The following is a 25051-nucleotide window of genomic DNA, read 5'->3' as shown; positions in this document are numbered from 1 at the left end:
GCAAGCACCACCACGCTCGTCTAATTTTTGTATTTTTTTTTTTTACTAGAGGCAGGGTTTCACCATGTTGGTTAGGCTGGTCTCGAACTCCTGACCTCGTGATCTGCCTGCCTCGGCCTCCCGAAGTGCTAGGATTACAGGCGTGAGCCTCCATGCCCGGCAAAAACAGTATATTTCTTTATACAATATCATCACACTTAGTAACCTTGCACCTTTAAAAATTTCCTAGCCAGATTTGACAAGATTATAAAGCAAAAGCCCAAAGGCACAAGCTGAGCTTCAGAGCATCTGGTAGCCACAAATTAGAACTGGAAGGAATATCTAACATCAACTTAATAACAATCCACGAAAAGCACCAATTTATTCTACTCAGCCCTGACTCCACTTGAGAATTTCAGCCCATGGGGGACTCACAGCATTCCCTCAGCGTTATTAAAGCCCAATTAAAATATTTGAAGTTAGAATTGTTTCCTCAAAAGAAAAGATCCGGCCGGGCGCGGTGGCTCACGCCTGTAATCCCAGCACTTTGGGAGGCCGAGGCGGGTGGATCATGAGGTCAGGAGATCGAGACCATCCTGGCTAACAAGGTGAAACCCCGTCTCTACTAAAAATACAAAAAATTAGCCGGGTGCGGTGGCGGGCACCTGTAGTCCCAGCTACTCGGGAGGCTGAGGCAGGAGAATGGCGTGAACCCGGGAAGCGGAGCTTGCAGTGAGCCGAGATTGTGCCACTGCAGTCCGCAGTCCGGCCTGGGCGACAGAGCGAGACTCCGTCTCAAAAAAAAAAAAAAAAGAAAAGAAAAGAAAAGATCCTAGGTCACTGTATTGTGTACTGTGTTTTGGAATAAAAAACTTGGTATTTTGAGCTGGATGATTTTTTTTTTTTTTTTTTTTGAAACGGAGTCTAGCTCTGTCACTTGGGCTGGAGTGCAATGGTGTGATCTCGGCTCACTGCAAACTCCACCTCTCGGGTTCACACAATTCTAGTGCCTAAGCCTCCCAAGGAACAGGGATTACAGGCACATGCCACCATGCCCAACTAATTTTTGTATTTTTAGTAGAGACGTAGTTTCACCATGTTGGCCAGGCTGGTCTTGAACTCCTGACCTCAGGTGATCCACCCGCCTCAGCCTCCCAAAGTGTTGGGATTACAGGCATGAGCCACTGTGCCCGGCCAGGATGATTTTCTTAATAGCAGATACATTTTTGAAACTATTTTTTTCTACAGGTAGCATGAGTTAAAAAAATTACGTGAATGCTTGACCAAAAAATCAATAACTCTTCCCATTGCTAAGGCTTTTAAACTTACAAGAGTAAGGTCTAATATTGGCCATTACATCAATTCTAAAGTATTAATAGTGATTAGCGCTCTTCTATGAGACTTCGTTGAAGTCTAGTCTTTCCAGTGCCAAAAATAAAAACAGGAAGAATGGTAAACAGATGCCATCGCTTGTTGTGCATCTTGACTTGGGAAATCAGTGATTATGTCAGGTTCATAGAGCCTGACCTCCGGCACACCTTTCTTTGTCTTCCCATCATAAGCAAAGGGGAAGGTTGACAATGACGTAACTTCTGAAACAAGTCAAAGAAAGAAACCGCAACTGCAGAAGGGCTGCAAAACCTATTCCAGGAATATCTGATTAAATTGCTAAAAATAAATAAGAGTAAAAAGAGCTATGTTTAAAAACTAATTAATAATTTAAAAAAAATCTTTTCTGACTGATGCCTTCCTGCCCACTGAATTTCCAAGTTTTTCAACATCTGCTTCATAAAGAGATTTAATTAATTCAAGTTTAGCTTGGCCGGAAAAAGAGAGTCTCTATTCTTTGGACAATAATTCCCCTAAAACACTAATAATCATTTAGTTAGTAAAACCATAGTCTTCATCATCTATGTCCTGAATTATACAATGTTAACTCAAAGAAAAGGAATGTAGGATACATCATATCCTTTAAAATGTGTGATAGGGGAGAATTTCTTTGGCATAAGTAAAGCTCTATGCTGTTTTAAACAGCTTTGTAAAGAAGTCCTCAGATGCATAATTTAAAAGGAGTTTTCGGGCTGCAGCTAATTTTCCTTTTCATTATCTCTATAAATTTAAGAAAAATGTAGCACAAAGGAACATTATAATGATGTGTGATTTTTTTGTGGTAAATGTTGGGCAGAAAAATCTGTAAATTAACGAAGGAAGCTCTTAGCTATTATTGTAAAACTGTAATTTGGTTTCATGAAATATAAATCATAGACTAAAAAAGAAGCAAGGACATTAAATATGTCAAGAAATGCCAATCAAAGATGTAGACAATGATTTAGGTAAATTTATATTCAGAGAAATATTATTAATAATATCATAAATGTAGAGCCTTCATGCTTAGTAATAAGAAAATAGTTATCTAAATGTAGCATTCCTAAGTCCTTAAATTTTCACAGACTAATGATACAGTATTCAGAAATGCTCACATTATAAACTGACATGGTACAGCACAAGGCAACATAGGTTGATCAATTATTATCTTAGGCCAAGCACTGTGTTATGTACCCTAATGTATTATATCATGTAATCTCTATTTAAGAAATAGATACTTCATTTTCCTGATGTGGAAATAGGAGAGAGAGTAAACAGATTCCCAACTAACACATAATAGGTTGTAGAGCACCTATTTGATTTGAACCTGATGTGTCTCCTTCCGTATCTCACGGTCTTAACCATGGTTCAACTGCGTTTGCAACAAATTGTTGCAAATACTCAGCTTAATTATCTTTAGAGTGACCGTTTCGCTTTTTGTTGTCGTTGTTGATTGCTATCACGGTAGTATGAAGTGAACAAAGCACTCAGAACCAGTGTCATTCCATACAGAATCTTAGATAAGATACTCATTCTAATTCTGATGGGCTCAGAAATGTGCTGTTCTGGTATCTTAGGGACATAAGATATTAGGTCTTTGCAAAACTCCTGTTTCAGTGACCATGACGCTATGTAAGCAATGGCTTCCTGACTTTTTAAATTTTGAGTTCCTATACTGTATCTTTGCACATTTGGTCCTTGTTTTAGGTATTCACTGAGTAATGAAAGCATGATATTCAATGTGCTTTATTTCTACATGATGTCTAGATGGGCATCTAAGGGGATATTAACTTTGCCTCTTTTTCTGTGTGACCAGCTTCAGCATATCCGGTTTCGCTTAGAAGCTACCTGCTTTAAGGAATTCCATAACCTCCATGTTCTCTAATAATACTCTATTAAAAATTAAACTGACTACACCAAACTCTCTTGATTTTGTTCCAACTTCACTGGCTGCTGCTTCTCTGTCTTCTTCACTGATTTCCCCTCATTTCCCCACTTCTAGATACTACAGTCTCCAGGAACCAACACTTAGAACTTTTGGTAGTGTTTTATCCAATCTTGGGGTTTTAAATGCAATCTCCGTGCTGAGGACTCTCTAATTTTATGTCTTAAGATGAGTCTATCCAAGTGCCCGCTTGACTGTGTCACTTGCCAGTCTAAATAGCTATTTCAAATTTCTTTCAAAACAAAATAAACCTAGATTTTCTACCGCATCCAATAAATAAAATCAAGCAATTAAACAAATGAAACAAGCCTTTTCCTGCCCCCCCCCCCATTTCTAATCTCAGTAAATAGCACCACGGTTTGCCTACTGTCTGTCGGTCTATACTCTCACATGCAATCTATCATTGCATCCTGTAGTATTTCTGCTCAAGGTTTGGGTCACCCACTTCTCACACTACTCCAGGTGTCATCTCTCACCTGGACTTTCAGTATAGCTTCTACCTTCCTCTTTTCTTCATATTCCTCTGTGGTCTAGTTCCTTGATGAAGCAACGTGTTTTATACTGCCAGATTTGCTGGTTTCAATGACCAGCTCAAACATCACCAGCTCTGTGACCACAGAGTTGGATAATTTTTGCATCTAAGTTTCTTCATTTGTTAAATAAGAGGAATATAATATACCTTAGAGTTGACAGAGTTGATCTAAGGATGATACACATTATTCAAGATAAAATTGCTTTGCACAGTGTTTGCACACAGTAACATTCAGTGAAGGTTAGTGATTTTTTCAACCACAGCCAATTTTAATGCATAAATTAGGTCATGTCATTTTCTTATTCCAAATTCCTTATTGGCATTGTCACATTTGAATAAAATGTAAAGTCCTTAACATGACCCAAAACTCTAAAAGACCTAGACCTTTGGTACTCCTGACTCTATTTCTAACTACTGTCTTCCAGCTTACTGTGTTCAAGCCACTGGCTCTTCTGAATTATCTAAGCTATTTCAGCTTCAATTATTTATGTAAATTTCTATTCAGAGAAATATTACTACTATATACTTCCAGGTGCCTCTCATTCCTACTCTCTTCACTCAGATATTCAAAAAACTTCCTCCTTTCATATACGTTTCTGCTCAAATTTTACCCATACTTCAGGGTGATATGTTTTCCCTGACCTCCTTATCAAAAATAATACCCCATCCATCTCTACCTCTTTACTTTGCTTTTTTCACTTCATATTACTCAGAATATCCTGATACGTATTTTTTGACCATTTGTTTATTGTCAGTCCCCTTTAAAAGAGAGTAATCTGCATGAGAATAAAGACTTATTTCCTTAAGACTTGTTTACCTCTCTATTCCCATTATCTGGAACAATGCCTGGTGTTAATAACAGGTATTCAATAAATATTTGGTGAATGAAGGATTACATTACATATAATAATCTTTCTACATGTCTGTCTCCATCAATAGACTTCAGCCTTTTTCCGTTGTTTGATGCATAATGGATACAATAAATATTTATGAGTGAGAAATTATTAATGAATGAATGAACATCATGTAATTCGAAAACCATCCCCAGGGTGATAAACTAGGGAAGATGTGATGCACAGGCAACTCTTTACACCTGGAAAAACAAATATTTAATTTACAGACAACCTAAACTACTTATTTTCTTTTCTGGTTATCATTTCTGATCAATATGTGGCTCCTTTTGATTGATTAAGTACAGGTTAGACACTAGAAAGAAATGGATAATTAATTGCACAATAGTAGTAACTGTCAGTACCTTTGAAACCTAAAACTAGATCCAATTATTTGAAAGCCAATTAACTAATAAGTAGAGCAACTACTGACACAAATGCATAGCCTCGATTCAACATGTGAGATTCTCCTTGACTTTCAGCACAGGTATGTCTTTTTCATGGGTTACTATGGCTTAAATCCTACATTCCAATGGCAAAGATCACATTTGAGAGAACAGATGGAGAACACTGGATTGAGGGGAAAGGAGCATCGCAGTACTTAGTGAAAAGCTTAAGAAACGAAGACTAGAAGATCAAAGGAAATGCTCCAAATAGATGGTCAAACCCTTTTTATGTGCTTATGCTTTTCAATATTTCCTATAATAAACATTTTTGGAGAAGATTCAACAGGAGTTTATATTATTATTATTATTATTATTATATGGAATCATATCTAATAAATAAATCTAATAAATCTAACAATATAATTAATCATATATAATAATTAATTATATATAATAAAAGTATTAATTATATTCAAATATATTTCATTTAAAATATTGAGAAAATCAGCTGGAAAGAAATAATAGAAATTATCACAAAAATGTGATATGTGATTGAGGTATTTTTATTATCAAAAATGAAGGTGTGAAGATTCATTTGATCTTTTTAAAAACAAAGAGGAAAAATTCATTGAGGAGAGGTATTTTGATCTATTGTGGTGTACAAAAATCTATTCCAGGGTAAACAAAACACGGCATTTGAAAAGCACAGGCACAGGTCATTTTCTGAGCTGCATAGTAAAGTGTGGCATGGTTCAAACCACACTGCTATGTACTCACTAGCGAGTAGAACAGCATATGATACAATAGAAAGATCAGGGGCTGGAGGCCAAAGAGCTGTCTCCATGCCTGGTTCTGACCCTTTGTAGATCCCTGAATGAATATGGGCATGCTCCCTATCCACTCTTCATTAGTCACATTTGTAATAATGACTCCTATCTAATATGATTGCTGTAAGGAGCAAGTGAATGTCACCTTTGTTCAAACAAAAACTAAGCACGTTTGTTCCTGAATGAAATATTTCAGAAGCTACAAAGAGGTGCAGAGTAGAAGCTAATGGAGCAAGAAAGAGATCACTTCAGTGTATCTCCCCTGGTGTTCTATATTCCAGACTTATGTGATATTTTCCAGTTCCTCAGATTTGCCATTGTCTCCTCTGCCTGAAATGTTCCTCTTCCAACATGTTTTCTCCTTTTCCATAATTCCAATTTGTCCTTTATGTCTCAGCTTAAACATCACTTTCCTCACAGAAGCCTTCCTGAGACCACTCAGACTAGGTTGGGCCTGCCTTTTCCCATGGCACATTCTTCTCCTTTATAACTCTTTTTCTGTGTATGATTACTTGTGCAAAATCTTTTCTACAGGTTACAAGGCAGTTCTAAAGAGAGATGGACTCTGTGTGTTTTATCAACACGACATCATCCTAGTACAATACAATGGGTGAGTGCTCAATAAATATTTGTTGGATAAGTTAAAATAATTTAATTCCACATCTCATAAGAAGTAATGTAGCAAGATAGTAAGAGGGTTTGAAATATGTAAGGAATAAGTGAAAGTAAAATAATTTAATGAATACCTTGAATAATTTACTTTTTTCAACTTGAAATAGACAAAATGTAACTGACAGTAGTACCATGTTTTCTAGCATGGTATAAAGCCTGCCACATAATACATGTTCAATAAGTATTTATTCAGTAAATAAATACATCATTAAATGAGGGCACAGAACATTAGCATGAGCCCTCTAGGACTCTAACATAATACAATCTAGAAGTGATTTTTAACACAAGGAGCGATGATAAATTGCTAAAATAAAATGAACTACAATTTAAGAAACAAAACATTAAGGATTGTTTGTGAATTTCTTTTTCTCTTGGACTTACAAATATTCCAAAATACCTTGATTAGTGTCTGTATGTGCTCATAAGTGTGAATTATGAATGAGGAAAGATTAGCTATGAAAGAGTTTCTCCTGCATTTATGCAAATAATTAAAATAGAATTTATGTTTTTTTCTACAGGTAAGAAAGTTCACATTTACAATGGTAGTCTAAGGACCAAATGTAACCAAAAGGGACTTATCAGAAGGAGGAACAATTTTTACTGGGAAGATAATGAATTCAGTTTTAAAGCCTGTCCAGGTTGAGTCCCTGTGGAGATTTCTAGATGCAGTTGAGACTAAGGACAAACTATGTAATCTCTTTTTACCTCCATTTATTTAAGGTACAATAGAGATAATGATAATATTGATTGCATTTCATTTCTGTGTTAAAAGCATTAATATATGTAAAATCTAAAATAGTGGCTGGCATCTTATAGCTTTTCAATTACTATTAGTCATTATTATTAATAATATTAATTATATTAACAATAAGTTACTGAACAGTTGAATATACAAGTCTGGAACTGAGGAAAATGGCCAGGGCTGTGCACATACATTTGAGAAAACTCAGCATGAAGATGATAATAAAATCCATAGGAAAAAATGGTTTTCCTACGAGATAGAGAGTGCAATTTGAAAAGAGTTGAGCTAGGATGAAAAATATCTCCCAGGAATATCTATGTTCACATTATAAGCAGTGAAAGTTGATTCAGTGAGGGCGGCTAAGGAGAAATTGCAACAATATGGCCATTTTGAAAGGAAGTCATTAGAAAGATTCCTAAAGAAAATTAACTTCATTTAGTTAGACGATATTTTCCAGTAATCTGGCCATAAAATAAATTTTTTTTTAAAAAAAAGCAGCCCTACATAAAAATAATGTGGTATAAAAAATTACTGTGAAAGAGACAATTTATGTTTAATTTCACCTTATTTTCTTAGCAATTCTACTCCAGCACCAAACTCAGCAAAGCAAAAGCTCTGCAGTTAACATGATACGCTCTCTCTACGTGGCAGGTTAGCAGTTCTCCATTATTACTGGAGCACATTTGTCAGGGATCTCACTCTAGCCCAGATGACTTATTAGAGCAGTCTTCCAACTACACCTACTATTATCCCATGGGGACTTCACTAAATACCCTTTTCTCCACTTCATTATACATTCGGTGATGTTTTCCAGTGATGTATGAGTGCTTGTTACACATCTACTCCCTGGGCACCTGTCTGCTGTTTGGTGTGTCAACACTTTTTTTTATTTTTAGAACATTTTTTTATCTGATAGCATTTATATTGTGACCCATCTCTTTTCATGTGAAGGTTACAAGTGCTAACTCTGCTACCCTCAAACCCAGGTACAAAACCTTGTTCTTCGTTCTACTAGCTATGTGATTTTGAGCAAATTATCTAACCTCTCTATGCCTTTGTGCCTCCAATTCCTTATTTGTAAAATGAAGATTACAACAATAGTGTGTTCTTCATAATGTGATGCCTGACATATTATGTGCATTGTAATTATATGTTATTATTATCATTCCCAAAACCTGTCAGGTACTTGACGATGAATAAGACATATGTATTCTCTGCTGCAGGAAGCTTGCACTATAATAAAGGAATTTGATGTTTAAGCAAACCACTAGAGTATAGCATCATTGCTCCTTTAGAGACGTTTCAACCAGGTACAGCATTTGAACAATGAAAAATATTTAATCAGCTTTGCTTAGGGCAGAGTGAGTATGGGAGATACAGGTAAGGTGTCACAAGAAAACAAAACATTAACATGCTGCTTGAGAGATTACTAGACTTTTGCTCAATCATATATGGGAAAGATTTTTATAGGGTTTAACAATAAGGAAGAGGAAAATAAAAGATCAAACAACCATTGTCATGTCAATACCTATAAGTGAAAGCTGGCCAGATGGATAAGACAAAATTATAGGAAAAATAAGTGTGAAACAGAGGAAGTAAAAATAGTAAATGCATGCATGTTTTCCTAACATAAAATAAGTGTGACGCTTGTGAAAATATTTTCTGGTTTTGCTATTGTATTGGGAAAGATGATATGACAATAGGAATAATGTGGTGACGTGTGAATAATGACTAAAAACCTAAGAATCAAACATGAAAGTGCTTTGAAATTTACGTATTGCTGTATGATAGTATTAAATTTTAATGTGAAGTTTTATGTAAACTATAAGCCCAGATATTACCCTTTAATAATCAAATAGAGTTAAAAGCCACTATCTTTATAAACATCTGATACATGAAAATGCATATTTGACATTACATACTTTATAATTTTAACTAATTCATATTTTTATTTGCAAAATATTTTCACATTTTCTAAAAGCAAATTAATATATAATAATGACAACTTGCATTTGTCTTATAATGTACCTTTTTAAAAAAGGTTTTAGGACAACTGTTAAGCAAAAATGGACATGTATCTTTTTTTCTAATTGCTAATTGAGTAATTAATTATGTTTTCATCATAAACATTTAGGATATTAATAAACATAAATGTGGTTACTTACTAAAAATATATAGCAATAATATTTAAAATTGCCATGATGTTTCTACAGCCATTTCTATGATATGATATCCTACTCAGAGTAAGAAAAGTTTCTGGATACAAATTGAATTGCAAGAGTGTATCCTAATTCAAAAGGTAAGACATCAATTATGGGGGAAAAATCCTATGTTCCTCTGAATAGAGCATTCCTACTATCCTCACATATAGCTGTTTGTATGATAAAAAAGAGATTTTATTTGATAAAGGAAAAAAAAGTATTCAAATAGAGAATCATACCTGAGTTACAATCCTGCTTTGTCATTTACTAGCTATGTTCTCTTGGCCAATGGCTTAGTTTCTCCAAGCCTCGGGAAGTATCTCATCAGGGAAAGTGGTGTCCTGAAGATGATCATGACACTTTGAAAATTGTATCGATAACTTACTAACCTTTGATGTTAGAAACTGTATTTAGATATTTGAGGCATATACTTTTTTCTGATTTCGAGAAAACTATTTCTGAAATTGAAGTGTAATTTTATTTCCCACAAGTTCTTGTTTTTCTGATGAAATAAATGCAAAAGATGAGACAATTTAAACTTGATTCCAAAAGCCTTTTCCATGTGGAAATGCTTTGATAGCTAATTATGAATGACAAATCTTGGAAATTTAATTTTGGTGAAGTAAGTCCTTTAAAATAAATTTCACATAAAAACAGCAAGGCATAATTTTGGACTCAAGTTTAAGTTACTTTGACTCATATATCCAACCTAAGAGTGGCTAATTAATTTCTTCTGAAAACCCTTTAAAAAATCCATAAATAATTTATTCCAATTTATCTAGTGTTTTTTGCATTACAAACTCATAATTTATGGTAACAATTTTATAAATAATTATCAGAGTAAATGCTACAGAGGATGTGGATTTTTTAATACACACATAAACATACACACACACAGAAACACGAACAACATTAAATAAAAATCAACAGACATGTTTATCTCTTTAACACAAATAGCTGACAAGATAATGTACATAAAACAGACTTGAAAGCCTTTTAAGATACATACTAAATATGATTATAAAGCTGGGAATGCATTTTAATTTAAAAAGAAACCCGAAATAGACATGACAGCTGAACAGTAATCATCCACATTATCCCTCACTGTGAACTAAGGCACATATTTGCAAGAAGGATGTGCAAAGTTCGATATGTTGTGTATAATCTAGGAATCATGTAAAATTGACTGTTACATGTGATCGCAACCCATGACTTAGACTTCAGTAAAACTGTTCTGTAATTGATAACCAGTCAAACGGGGTTTAATTTGTAGGGGTGGGGAAATAGAATGCATAGGCAAAGCAAGAATACGTAGTTCATAGTACAACATATTTCCATTTTCTACATAATGGTTTTAAGAAACTTTCAAATCTTTTCATGAGGTGATTTCTTTTAAAATCTGTAAATATTTACACAAAAGTGCCTTTAGATATGAGTCAACTATACTCAATAGCTTAAATCATAAAATTCCAGTCAGCACAGTGAGCACACATTTCTTACACCACAAAATTCTTGACCATAAGAAGCTGGGGAAAAAATGTGATTTATATATATAAAACCTCTAAATTGAATATAAATAGTAAAATAAAACTAGAAAATATACATCTATTAATTTATACCTGGCTTTGATTCTGATACTTATCAAATGAATTTCCTCACCTATTAATATTGGCAATATAATGAGTGATAGTAATCAAAATATGATGGCTGTAACATATATGTTCCTAAACACAAAATATGTTTTTCTTTTTTTTTACAAAATTTAATAGAACTTCAAATTTTCCCTGAGGCTATCCCATCTGAAATAAACTACCCTCATGGAATTTAGGTGTGATTTAGTGTAAATATTTAAATAAAAATAAATATTGACAAATAGTGATATTCATTTTAAACATTTTCTGGAATAAATTCCGAATTGGTAGGCTCTTGGTTGAAAAATTACCATATTTTAAAAAATAAATATAGACACATATATTTACTTAAGATACATATGTATACCTTTATAAGGATATATATATTCTTTAATTTTTGTTGCTATTTGTGTATAAGATGCTGTTTAGCTGCTAAGCAAAAATACTTAGAATGTTTTTTGAATTAACACTCATACAAAGAAATAGATACTAGATATACATACATAAGCTATACAGGTGGCAGAGATTTAGAATTACCAAACTGATATTTGTTAATGGATTTAATTAGACTCTTTGAGAATAGAGATAAAAATATTGAATGAATGGCAAATAAATTTAGACATACAATTTACACAATCTAAGATTAGTATAAGAAAATAAAATGTGAGTCCATATTTAAGATTGTTGAGGAATGCTATCAGATATCTGTTCTAAATTAAAGTTTGAATCTCTTCGGTTAAAAATTGTTGGACAGACTAATCCAAGTAATCATAATATTATTTCTACATGAATGGGATGAAAGAACTACATCCTTTAATGAAAATATAACACTTAATCTTCAGAATAGAGGCTTCAAATTTAGCCCTTACCTTGGCCAATATTTATACAGGAAAAAAATTCAATAAATATTGTCAGATGGAATAAGTAAATTAATTAATAAATGAAAGTTACAGGATAGAACTGTTTTACTAATGCTTTGAGATGATGAAATAAAATTGGATCTGGATACCAAAAACATTTTCTGCACCAAGTGGCACTCCAAACATGAACCCATTTCTTTAAACCATTATTTTTAAAAGACACATTGTTGCATCCTATCTTTAATAATCATATCAAATTCCCTGTCATCGTTCCAGTGAGACAGTCCTAGTGTCCAAATACTCCAGTTGAGGAGACAAAGAGAAGCAAGAGAAAAAGGGAAAGTAAAGCTAGAATCCTGGTTTTGACTACCTCCCAAGACTTAATCCACTCCCCCACATTCCAATTTACAGTAAAATGAAATTGGCACATTAACCTGAAAGGGAAAAAAAAGAAAGAAAAATGACCAAATTCATTCAGCTAATTCAGGCATATCCAATGAAGTAATAGTGAGTTTATGCATATCGAAAAAGCAATTTGGCTCTTAAATAGCAAAATTTACTTATACCTAGTGGGAAAAAAGGAATTAAGGAATAATCTGGAAGTGCTTGAGAATGAAATTAAAATGGAGAATTGGCTTGTGCTCAGTGTCAAGTGGCTTTAAAAGAGAATTCTGATAAGCAAACACTCAAATAGAGTTCTCATTCTTCCTGTGTCATAGAAGAGACCCTCGTTTCCTACAGAAACTCTATAAATTTTGGAACTCTGTAAATACATGGAGGAATATAACAAATTGGCAATTATGGAATCAGAATATGTGAGAAATGCTGAAATAGAGCTTAACAAGAAATTTTATTTCACAAGAGAAATCCTTAGTCATTTATTATAGTTATTAAGTAGACTCTGAAACTGTCAGTCATGTCTTTGATAAAATGAACTGCATTTCAAGTGCCCACAAAGCAAAATCTGTTAGAATAGGCAAGCTAGAAATAGATGGAATAACATGAAAAAAAAAGCAAAATGAATGAAACTACAAAATGAGATACCATTTAAAGTATAATAGGTATAAAAATGGCAGTAGTATTTAAGGGCAAGAAGAGATCATAAAATGGTAAAGCAAGAAGAAATGAATAGAGACAGGATATAAAACACATAGACAGATTCTTATGAACTGGATTTACTCTAGGTACTATTCTATATTCACTGGATCTTACAGCTTTTGTTTTAGTCCCCCTGTTTAAATATCATCATGCTTACATAAGTATGTTTGAACCTCTCTGTACTTGGAGTGCCATATGCTGTCTATGTTTTGTTTTAAAACACATAAATAGAGAAAGTATAATTTCCTGATTAGTAGCTAATAGAATTTCTGTTGTCATGGTCTTGCCAAAACAACACATTAAGAGAATGAATCCCTTCCTGCTTAAAATGTGATACAACTTTTACAAACCTTTTAATGCATTTCCAAATTTTCATTCAGAAGATCATGATGATTCACTTATACTTACCCATCTTTTATGTTGGTGATTAAAAATAAACCTATTTTAAGTATGAGAACTCTTTGCACAAAATTTGCTCTATTTTTAAACAGATATTTATATTCTGATATTTCCTTTAACAAGTTGTTGAGAGTACATATAAAATTTGGGAAATGTAACCAAAATAGTCTCTGAAGCCCACAGAATATTATTATTAATAATCATATATTATCAATTAACATTGATAATAATGACAACTTTTGTGGCTAAGTCAATCAAACCACTTACTTCAAAAAGAAATATATAATCAGTTTTATCCAGCAGAAAAAAAATGTAAATATCCAGAAATACATTCTAACCTAGAAGTGATTCTTGGCTTGTTTAAACTTGCTAGACCGGTACCTCTAGGAAATGATGAGATTGGGAGTAGAAGAAAGGGGAGAAATCACATTTTGCCATATTCTAATTAATTTCAACAAATGTTTTTTAAATGATATTGTTAAGGTGTTGTATTGGAAATCATCCTGTAGCTTTCTTATATTGCTAATGCTTCCCTTCATTTTTCCTATTTGCTATCATGACCACCAAAATATTTAAAATATCTGCAGATTTGAAAATTAAGATCTCCAACTGTTATCTTAAGCAGATTCATTGGTATATTTATGTATGAAACATTAAATCTATTAAAATCTATAAAATTAAAAGGTGTTAATGTGTAACTTTGAAAAACTATAGTGTCTTAATAATTTTTGAATATTTGTGGATAGAATTACCTAAAAAATGATTATCTTTGTAAAAAAAACTGAATGCGGCAAGAATTTTAGCTTCTCATTAACACTCTCTTTCAGTACAATACTGAAAGAACACCTTTTTGTAAACACATTATGGAATTTTTAAAGTAAGTCACCTTTCTGCTGTTTAATGTGACTATCACAGCAGCTGAATGGATAACATACAATGGAATGGTTGGTGATGGTATTGCCTGATCTTGTAGTAGCAGGGTATATCTATAATAAAATGAGTAATATAATTCATAGCCATATTCCTACATATACGTGAAGCACTTAATGAGTGTAGGTATGAATGACCTGAATTGTTAATTATTTTAGCTTACAAAATTTTTTTTATTCTGTTACCTTCGTACTTAGCTGATAAATAAATTGAGCAAAGATGTCCTCATTCAGTAGGAACAGTTGGGTTTGTTTGGGAATAAACTTAGATACACTTTTTGGTCTCACTGTTATTAGTTTGAAGTACTATTAAGTAAAAAAAATAAAGATCTTTGCCTTTTGTAAGAACATGTTTTATGTATGATTGAAGTTTTTACAACACTCCGGAAAAGCCATCCGATGTTAGATTTAAAAATAAAATCGAAAGCATTTTCTGACATAGTACACATGAAAAATTGGAAATTCCAATATCTTCAATAGAAGTTATAGAAAGTGTATGTCTTCTTGGAGTTTGACACCCACTTAACACAGCAGAAAATAAGGTACTATACTGTAAACAAAAAAGTACAGTAAAGGACAATTGTAAATTTACATAAGAATAGTTCATAAACATTTTGGTCTTTCCATAACAGTTTTTATATAAAATGAATAAAAAAACCTTTAGACAGCTGTCATCACTCTTGTTTGACCACTTTTCACTTATATGCACACAGACATATTTATATAGCAATATATTGATGCACCGTTACATGGATATTAAACTATGAGTACTGCTTGTAACTGAGATGTGCATTATCCAATCAACATTATCCATAGTTGAAATACTCTTACATTATGTATTCTTGTCATGTTGTATCTATAAAAACATGAAAATATAACTTTACATTATTTCAATTATTTACATTAGTTCAAGCTTGACAGAGAAAAATCGATAAGCTACAATTTTTAGAAGAGTAGGCCCAGAGGTACAATAAATAGCATTGATTGTATATAGTCATTTCTTTTTCACTTTTAAAAACTCATTTTAAGTACAATATGGAAACAATTAGTCTGCAATTTGGTCATTCTAGCACTTATTATTAAAACTTAAAATGCACCTCCAGCATTCCTGATGAGGAGAAATGCACTAAAATTATATTATATTACCTTAGGATCTGTGATTAGGGACAGCTAAATTTAGTGAAGAATATCATGATACCACATGCCTCCATGTTCAATGCAAGTGCTTACTGTTAAACCTTACATTTTTCCTTCCCTTCTATGAAATACGGTAAGTAAGAATGTTTTAAAAGCACTTTGCAAAATACCAAGTGCTACACAAAGGCTTTCTTCCAGAAATAACAAGAATACAAATATTAAAAATAACTATTGGATGTCAATAATCATTCAAAATCCTAAATTAATTAAACTTGGGGGGCTTTAATGGAAATAAGAGGTATTTTATGAAGGGAAAGATAGATCCTTTAAATTCATTAACTAGATAAATATAGGCTCTTTAGTCAAAAGTTACAGAAATGTGACATTTTATCCACACTGGGCATATTAAAATAGCCATTCCACCTGAGGAATAAATATAAAAATAATATATTAGGGTTATTTTTAATTGATGTCAATGGGATGAAACTATATTGCAGGAGACTCAAACATATTTTAAAATTCATAATATATAAAGTTTATGACAGCTTTTATAATTTTAAAGCTAAAAACATATTTAGTTTTTGGAATTTAATCAATGGGCAACTATCTAAAGAATTACTTTCAAGGCATTTTTTACTTCATTTAAAATGAATGTTTCTCTTCTGTAAGCTCAAACACTTTAAAAATGGAACTTCACGTATTCTGGTATTTGTTAATATTAGCTTTTTAAATCTATTAGCATTTATCTACATAGATCAAATGCTTTTGTGTTAACAAATATTTCTTTATATATATATATATTTAGACATGTCAAAAAGATATTCAGATATTACTTTGGGGGCAAGATTACATTTGAAAAATCACCTGGCCTTTTTAAAAGGGAGAAATTTTCTCTGGGCACCTAACAACTTGGTAGTGTCTTTAAACTCACTTGATTTATGACCAAACTGTAGCTAAGCAAAATTAATTGGACCACTTGCAATAAAACAATAGAAAAATGTTTATTTCAAATGTCAAGCATTGCCAAGTAATTTTATATTAACACCAAATGTTAAAGAATAGGATACATTAAAGTTTTAATAACAATATTAAATTACAAGATTGGAATCTCCTCTTTGTTTACTTTCCTTAGCATTTACATATTTGGCTTTGAAAAATATGGAATCGATACCTAAAGCCTTTTTTTATTCACTTCCCACTCAGTTTAATTGTTTTTGTCTTATTCAACCAATATGGAAGCAAATTTATTTAAAAGCCAGTTTGTTTGTGAAAATACCTAAAAATATTTTTTAGTTTTAAATGTTTTTTTTCCTTTTTTTATAAAACATGTCACATCTTGATGCAGTTGATGTCAAGTGTGCTTAAGTCATTATGAATCAAGAGACTAACAATAGTGGCTGCAGAAACAGGTTTGTTGTCTGTACAAAGACTTCAGGTAAATTATAGTACTTCCATGTTAGCTGTGCATGTCCACCACGCTTTGTCTGTAACTCGAGTAGAAAAAGATGTTGTGTTTTAATTAATCATTCCTTACAATTCAAGATGAACTCCACATATTTAAGAATTCTTGGCTGAAAGAAAAGTCTTCAAGATACTGGATGCCTCTCACCACTTTGACAATAAACACACAAGAAAACCATTGTGTAAGGCACTCAAAAGGTTCTTATCAATCACGAGAGATCAGTCACACTGACATTCATTCCCATGCCAGGACTCACGTAAGGGACAGCATGCACTGCTTTGGGAAATTCTGGAGTCATAACACGTCCATTTTCTCCAGTACTTCCTGTAATTGACAGCCTTGCCTTGTTCCTCATGGCATCATTCAAGGTCATCTTAAATGAGAGAGGAGGGAAAGAAAGAAAAAGAAATCATACGTTATGGTTTTCAAATGCATCCAGAGGAAAGGCAGGGTTGTTTTTGAAAAGTTTACTTCTATCTGAAAGCTTCTAGCAAATGAAAGCAAACAGTGCAAAGCTGAACTACAAATAATAAAGCACAATTATGGCAGGAATCTGTCCACATTCACCCAAGCTACTGTGCCATTAAAGAGGAAAATAGACAGTTGAGCTGCAGGTTAGTCACCAACTGGGAACATGGAAGAACGTCAACAATACATACAGGATGATCCATTGGCCACCTTCCTTATTTAAAAGAGCTTAAGGACGCAACAAGAAAGCTAAACGTGCACTAAAAAGTTTGTATTAGAGCCTCGTTCCTACCCCCTAAATTTTAACACTTTCGATGCCATATACGTTGTAACCTTCCTTATAAGTTGCAAAATTCTGTGAATTCTGCGAGGAAGATGGGTTAATATTCTGTGCATTCTTTGCCACCTTCATTCGTTTCGCCTCGGCCCTTGACTTGTAACAGAACTCAATCAAAGCCACCAGCATTGCCAAACCAAGGCCCCCGACAAGGATGTAGAATACTCCAGCAACGTTGCTCAGACTGAGGGCACTGGTCTTTTCCTAAAGAATGTATATGAGAAGAGGTTATTAGGAAGGCAAACTGGTGAATAGAAGAGAACAGCAATGTCACATAGCATTATCACGGGAACAACCTAGTCACACAGAATGCATTTGAATTTGAGAAACAATGGATTTTCTCTTAGATGGTCCATTTTCATAACAGCTACCATGAAACAACATAAAATTTAGCTTAAGATTTTGGTGGACTCAATCGACTACCTGCAGGGAATAAACTTCTATTTATTCATTTCTTAAACATTTCCCTGGCTATGTCAGTTGCAGTGATAAATTGATAAATAGTTATATTCCATTACCGTGGGAAAAATTGAAGGTACAAGACAGTTTCTTCATCCTATAAATAATCTGGTAAAGCTGACAGCGAACAGGGCTAAAATAAACCATACGTGTGATTGTAGAAGCAAGTTTTAAATGTTGACCATGTTACTGGCTTAGTAGAGTCATAAATGGAGGACTGACCACATTTCCAATCCCTCAAAGTACTAAGATGGCTAAGATAAACCTTCAGGAAGTTATCCTGCAATATGTTGGCTGGTGAAGGTTCCAGTACATTCTCACTCTCCAAGTAGGCTTTGGACATGTTTAGAATTGCAGTGTACCATTTTTGATCTCTTGGTCTCCAAAATTCATCCCCTCAGTGTACTCTCATCCACTAGACTACATCTCACAACAAAGCTTTGCCATTCAATACAAACAGAGCACACATGATGCACACGAATAGTCTTGCCAATCAGTGATACTATAGATGCTGCAACTGTGCCATCAAAACAGACAAGGAAAACACACATCCCTATAATCACTTAATCTTAAGTGTTTCATTAATGTTCTCATTAGGCCATTTACTCTATTTCAGTATGTTGCTGTTTCATGCACTATTATGTATGAGTTAGACATGAACACAGACTGAAATAAATATATTAAATGCATATACTATATTTAAAATAAAATAAAAACAACAAATCAGTAACTCTGCAGGCATTACCAAAACATCTTACCAAATTATGCATCTCATGCATATTTGCATTTACATTCTATTTAAGATGGGTCATTCCCACTAACACACTTGTGGTTTGATTTTGCTGTTTGTGTTTGATTTTGTTTTTTCACATAAAACCTGCAGCAACTGACCTTACTTCCAGAGTCCTTGGCTCCACATTCACCTTTATCGTACCACCATTTGTTTTTCAGCTTGTCTAAGACGCCTTGCTCACTGAGTTTCAATACTGCAAGATTTACTGGGGTTCTTCACGTGGAAAATAACATAAATAACATTATCAATGTTATTTTATGTTATTCATTACATAATACTGATTCAAGAGCTTTGTAAGAGCGATAGTCATTGATGCGCCATTTGGCCTAAGCAAACGGTAAGATTTGCAGAGCCAAATGAGCATTAATGTATCGCTGGAAGTAACCAGCAGGTGCAACAGTTTGCAACAAATCCATTAGTTACAAATTTTTCCTTGAGATATGGAGAAAGAGAGGGAAAGAGAAGTAGAGGAAGAAAGAAAGAAGAAGTCAAGTGTCCTGGTCATCCAATTGCACTCTTCAGCTTAGCGTTGGAAACTTGGTGGCACGGAGTGCCCACACTGTGCATAGCTGCTGCTTACTTTGTTTTGCATTGAGTTACCCATTACTTTTCTCACTGGGGCTGACCTTGGAATCACCTCCCCCGCTGCCGCACTCTCCTTTGTCGTACCACCATTTGTTTTTCAATTTGTCCAACAGGCCTTGTTCATTCAGTTTTAGTACTGCGAGGTTAACCGCATTTCTTGAAACGATAAAACATACTTGTCAGACAGGGTGAGCAAATTTTAGACTTTTTGTTTGTTTTGTTTTAATTTGTTTTTCTTTGGCTTCTGTGGCAACTCTTGTCACAAAAAAATGAAGTGGGAAAAAGGCCACAATAATATGTTACTATGAGCTACTAAAAATCTGAAACTTTGGGTAAGGTGGTAGAGCATAACAAAAAGAAAATAAAGGAAAGAGTGCTAATATGGGGAGTTCTATATTCTACAGCAATGTACTCACATCCACAACAAACAAATAACAGTGTCTTGAATGTGACTCCACTAAAAAAAAAACAAACGACAAAATAGGAATACAAAGAGTTAACTACATAGTAAAGAGATGTGTGCAAAGAAATTCAAAGTGCATTTTCCTTTCCCCAAAGTATATCCCTTAAACAAAAATTAAAATGAAAATTAAAAAGTGGCATATTTCTCAGTTAGTTATTTCAGTTTACTGTTAGGATACAGCCATTTGCTTAGTCTGTATGCAGAGTGTTTGTAAGCAGGCTGGTAGACTGACAAGGTAGTTAGAAATGTGGAAAAAAAAACTCAAACAAAGTAAAGCTAAACAAACATGTATTCCTTAAAATGAATGTGTTTTAACTCTTAAAGGAAAAAAAAAAGGATATGTTTTAAAACAAAGCAAACCAAACAAAACAAAATCCTGTCATAAATATATAAAACAGTATCTAAATGTTTAAAAACATTCAGAAACGTTTTTTGGTCATTTTTGTGATGGTGAGTTACCTCATATCCGTATACAAACCGTAAGAGAGTCTTAAAGATACATCAGGGTAGGTGGGATACTATAACAACATTTAGCATATTGTTATACTATTCCACCCACCTTAATGAGGATCCTTTAGGTGTTGCGATGCCATAGCCTTTGGAATCCAGGTTTCCACCAACTTTCATGGTGTCGCAAGGCTTCCTTTGCTCAATGTACTCGTTCATCGTGGACTCCAACAAGTAGGCATATTTCCCTTTGGACTTCCGCACTCTAGCCACCCCTTCGGCCGTAGTCCTCACAAACACAGAGGGCTCCGCACTCCGCATGTAGGTCCACATTTTATCAAACACTGCAATTTTAGATCTCTGCAGGAAAAGTAAGGGGCCAGATAGCATTAAGAGATGGCCCTAAAAAATTACTCACAAAACACAAAAAGAGGTATTACTTTTCAAAACATAGATGATATACACAATATGAACAAATCTCATCTTTCAACAATTTTTTTCACTAATAACAATTCTATGAAATTGTTATTATGCCAAATCATTTTTAATAGATTCGCAAGGACCTGAAACATCGATTTACTATGGTAAACAAAATACTGTATATCTAGAAGTAATCTGAAATAGTCACAATCCAAAATAAATTGAAAAATGCACTATACTATCTATAGGAATAATTCAAATTAGGAGACAACAAAAAGGATATCTTTGCTGCCCAAATCCTAAATGGTCGATTCCTAATTAGTGGTAGAACAGGATCTGTGTAATGTGGGTTGGTCAGGCATGTAAGTGGTGAGATTCTAATGAAATGCCTATTCGCTGTGGAATAAAGATAATATTACGCTGGAAACTTCTATCTAATACTGACTGAAACATTTCTAGAATAACACTGATTTTTAAAAGAATATTCTTTGGCCATTGAAGTTTTCTTTTAATTAAACAGGACTTTTTTCTTTGAATATTTAAACACCAAAATCCTATTTATTTCAAGATATACTGGAAAAAAACCAACATTCTTATCAGTGACAGATATGAAAGAAAGAAAGGCTAATTGAAACTGTATTATTAAAGGAATATTTATCTTAAAACTTAATGGACTCAAAAGCAAAGATACACATCAAAAGAGTCATTGAATACTTCCTATTCAGACTCAAAAGAAGCTGAGCATAGAGTTGGAAAGTCAAAGCATTTGAATGTCTGCTTATTTTTCTATTCACAACTTTCTCATGACTTTAATCCCTTTTGGGAAGATGACTTTGAATAACCCCTTTTGTTATTTTAATTTAGTAAGTTTGAAATGAAAAATTGAAATCGAAGACTTACTTTTAAAACTTAAGAGGTTTGGGGGGGGTTTGTTTGTTTTTTATTCTAAGGAATTTAAAAAATATAACTTTTACCTTACAAAAAGCAGACATATGATATAAATCCAAATGGTTTATAATACTGCTCTGAGGATTCAGGTAGCTTTACATATAAAAGCACTCTATTTTGGTGAAAATCTTGGGTCAAGTGCAAATAGAGTATAGAGTATGCTTGTGTCACTGGGGTTTATGATAGCATAACAGAGATGCTCAGACTTAAGTTGTGTTTCTCACTGTCACCATTGGAGTAGGGGCTGTTGTATTGAGACAGGCTCATGGATCATTTCAGCTCAGTGGTCTATGCAGGCAGAAGGCCAGCTGTCTCCTGAAAAAGGCACTTTAACTCTAAAGATATGTCAACATTCCTTACTTCTTAATACTTATTCTCTCACCTAATTAAGTAAACCACTGTTAAATCTATTACCAAACAATGCCGCTTCAGATTTTAGATTTTAAAATTCATTACCTAGTGAATCAAGCTTTCTTTCTGTTGTAAAAGCATATCTATGAGAGTGAAAATTTTACTAGGACCCCAGCTATGTTTAGCATGAAGCTTTGTACATAGTAGGTTCTTAATAAATGTATTCTAATTAGCTATTTTGTGATTTAGTTAGGAATGAAAAACCATTTTTGCTTTTTCTGAAACTTTGCCTACTGTAGAAACTGCTTGTTTGTGTTTTCTCCTATAGTCTGCCTTCATATTCTCAACCAAATTGAAAGATTAGTTATAGCATTTGAGTTTGATTAAATAGGAAGCAATCTGGCTAAACCTCAAAGTTTTTTTGTAATGTGAATTCTCACAAAAACATGACGTCAATATCACAATTTTGGAACAAAATCACAGGCTGATAAAGAAGAGTTCAAAATGATGACACAATTATTTTATCAAATCATCCATTAAATGTCAATTTTTCCAAGTTTAAAATATCAATTTTGAGGCATTAAAATATTACATGAAATATGAATGCCCTTCAGAGAAAATTCAAAAATTAGCAATAACATTTTCTGTTTCATTCATAAAATATTTTCGGCTGGTTTTAAGAATATTTCTCTAAGTGTAAATATAATATTTCCAAGAATGAAAGGATTTTAAAATACAATCTAGAAAAAAAATGGACCTAGCTACTTTCGTCTCAGCTGTTGATCGCTGTCTTTGCAGTTTGAATCATTTAGAAGATATATTAGTTCTGGTATGTTAGGTCATTAGTTCTGGTATGTTAGGTCACCTAGACATACAAGTTCTGTTAGTCATTTTTTTATAATGAGGCTTCACATGTATTATAACATATATGACATATTCTTATGAGGAGCATGATTTTATGATGTAATTGTAGATTAATAACATCTATAAAGTATCTGAGACTTTAAAATACACATTGATGATACTGAATCAGACTGAAAGTAACTTTTTTCATAAGTCAGAATTTCTGTAAGATAGACAATTTTTCCTCAGCTAAATCATTTGGCTCACAGTTTTTAGTTTACTGTTCCCTTTTTTAACAAAGTTAATAAAATGTTTTCATGACCCTATCTTTTCAAGAGCTATTGTTTGAACATATTTAGCCAAAGGTAGACAAATAAGATAACTCATAGACATTATAATACTGTTCTGTTGAAAACTGCGATTCATTAGGACAAGACATTTACTAATTTGAATTTCACAGCTACTTTCAAAACAAGAATTAGAGGAATCTGATGACATTCTTACTGAGAGACAATTCAGAATATATGCATTTACTTTCTATTAAACATATCAGAAAGAGTCTTAGACTAAATAATAAAAATGATGCCTAGAAATCTTGATTTTCTCCAAAACCATAGCAAAAATAAAAAAGTAACCAGCAGAAAAACATTCCAAAGGTAAAGCAAAGTTTTGGGCTTCTCATCTAAGAAGATGCATGATAAATTATAGTTATTTTTCATTAGGTTGGTGCAGAAGTAATTGCTGTTTTTGCCACTACTTTCAATGGCAGAACCACAATTACTTTTGTGCCAACCTAGTAGGTTAATGTAGGTGACAGTGTTTAGTTTGGCCTAATTCATATATTTGTGGTCTACCTGATGCACTGGGGAGCACACTACAATCATCGGATCCACTCCAGCCTCTTGACCACTTATTTCTTATAATATATTTACAAATACACTAAAAAATAATGTAATACCATGTGGTCAACTAAGATACTGTTCTTAATAGCATTTCCTGTTAAAATTTTGGAATCCAGCAATTTCATGTTACATGCACACATTGTTCTACCAAAAGCACCCAGATAATTTAAGCAATTGTAAAGAAAATGCAAATCAAAGACAAATCGAATTGCCTCAATTAGCCCCTTTGTGTGGACTTTGGAGATGAACGCCAGGCAATGATGATCACCACCCTCATAAGCAACATCTACATTTGAGCAAATTTTACCAAAGTAGAAGAGGGAACACAGGCAAGCCATACACACTTTTAAAATAAACCACATAATTTCCCATCATCTGTAATACTGATCTGAATGCTGGTCCAGAGAAGAACATGATGCAATGCAAAAGGAAAACACAGGGGTTGACAATCATTTCTGTCAAGATGGCCCCAGGGAAGAGTTACAAGTCTTTCTCAGGAACAACTGCACCTTGATTTTCTACCTCTTTCGCAAATCTACATGCTGCTTTTCACGAAATTTAAACTCTCTCTCTCTATATAAATATATATATAAATATATATAAATAAATATATAAATATATATAAATATATATAAATAAATAAATATAAATATATAAATATATATAAATATATATAAATAAATAAATATAAATATATAAATATATATAAATAAATAAATATAAATATATAAATATATATAAATACATATATAAATAAATATAAATATATAAATATATATAAATACATATATAAATATATATAAATATATAAATATATATATTAATATACATAAATATATAAATATATATTAATATATAAATATATATAAATATATTAATATATATATATTTATATATAAATATATTAATATATATAAATATGTTAATATATACATATATATAAATAAATATATAAAAATATATATAAATATATATAACTA

At 32.9% G+C, this 25051-nt stretch overlaps 1 protein-coding gene across 7 annotated transcripts in view; it reads right to left on the bottom strand.

Annotated features, from left to right (window-relative positions):
* Nucleotides 1-14787: 14787 nt before the first annotated feature.
* The window catches only part of GRIA2 (glutamate ionotropic receptor AMPA type subunit 2), a 145956-nt gene continuing 135692 nt past the window's right edge, over nt 14788-25051 (bottom strand). For 3 of the 7 annotated variants that reach the window (NM_001379000.3, XM_047450131.1, NM_001083619.3), the window contains exons 13-16: nt 20720-20967; nt 19739-19853; nt 17816-18064; nt 14788-17428 (exon numbers count right to left, since the gene is read on the bottom strand). In NM_001379000.3, coding sequence (NP_001365929.3) covers nt 17819-18064; nt 19739-19853; nt 20720-20967 — 609 coding nt within the window. In that variant the 3' untranslated portion in view covers nt 14788-17428; nt 17816-17818. Of the gene's footprint in view, nt 17429-17815; nt 19326-19738; nt 19854-20719; nt 20968-25051 lie in introns of all 7 variants that reach the window. The other 4 variants (NM_001379001.3, NM_001083620.3, NM_000826.6 and 1 more) reach the window with 2 other exon arrangements.

The sequence above is a fragment of the Homo sapiens genome, chromosome 4, assembly GCF_000001405.40.
Source record: "Homo sapiens chromosome 4, GRCh38.p14 Primary Assembly".
NCBI classification, from domain to species: domain Eukaryota; kingdom Metazoa; phylum Chordata; class Mammalia; order Primates; family Hominidae; genus Homo; species Homo sapiens.
This window is presented reverse-complemented; position numbering and strand designations above follow the sequence as displayed.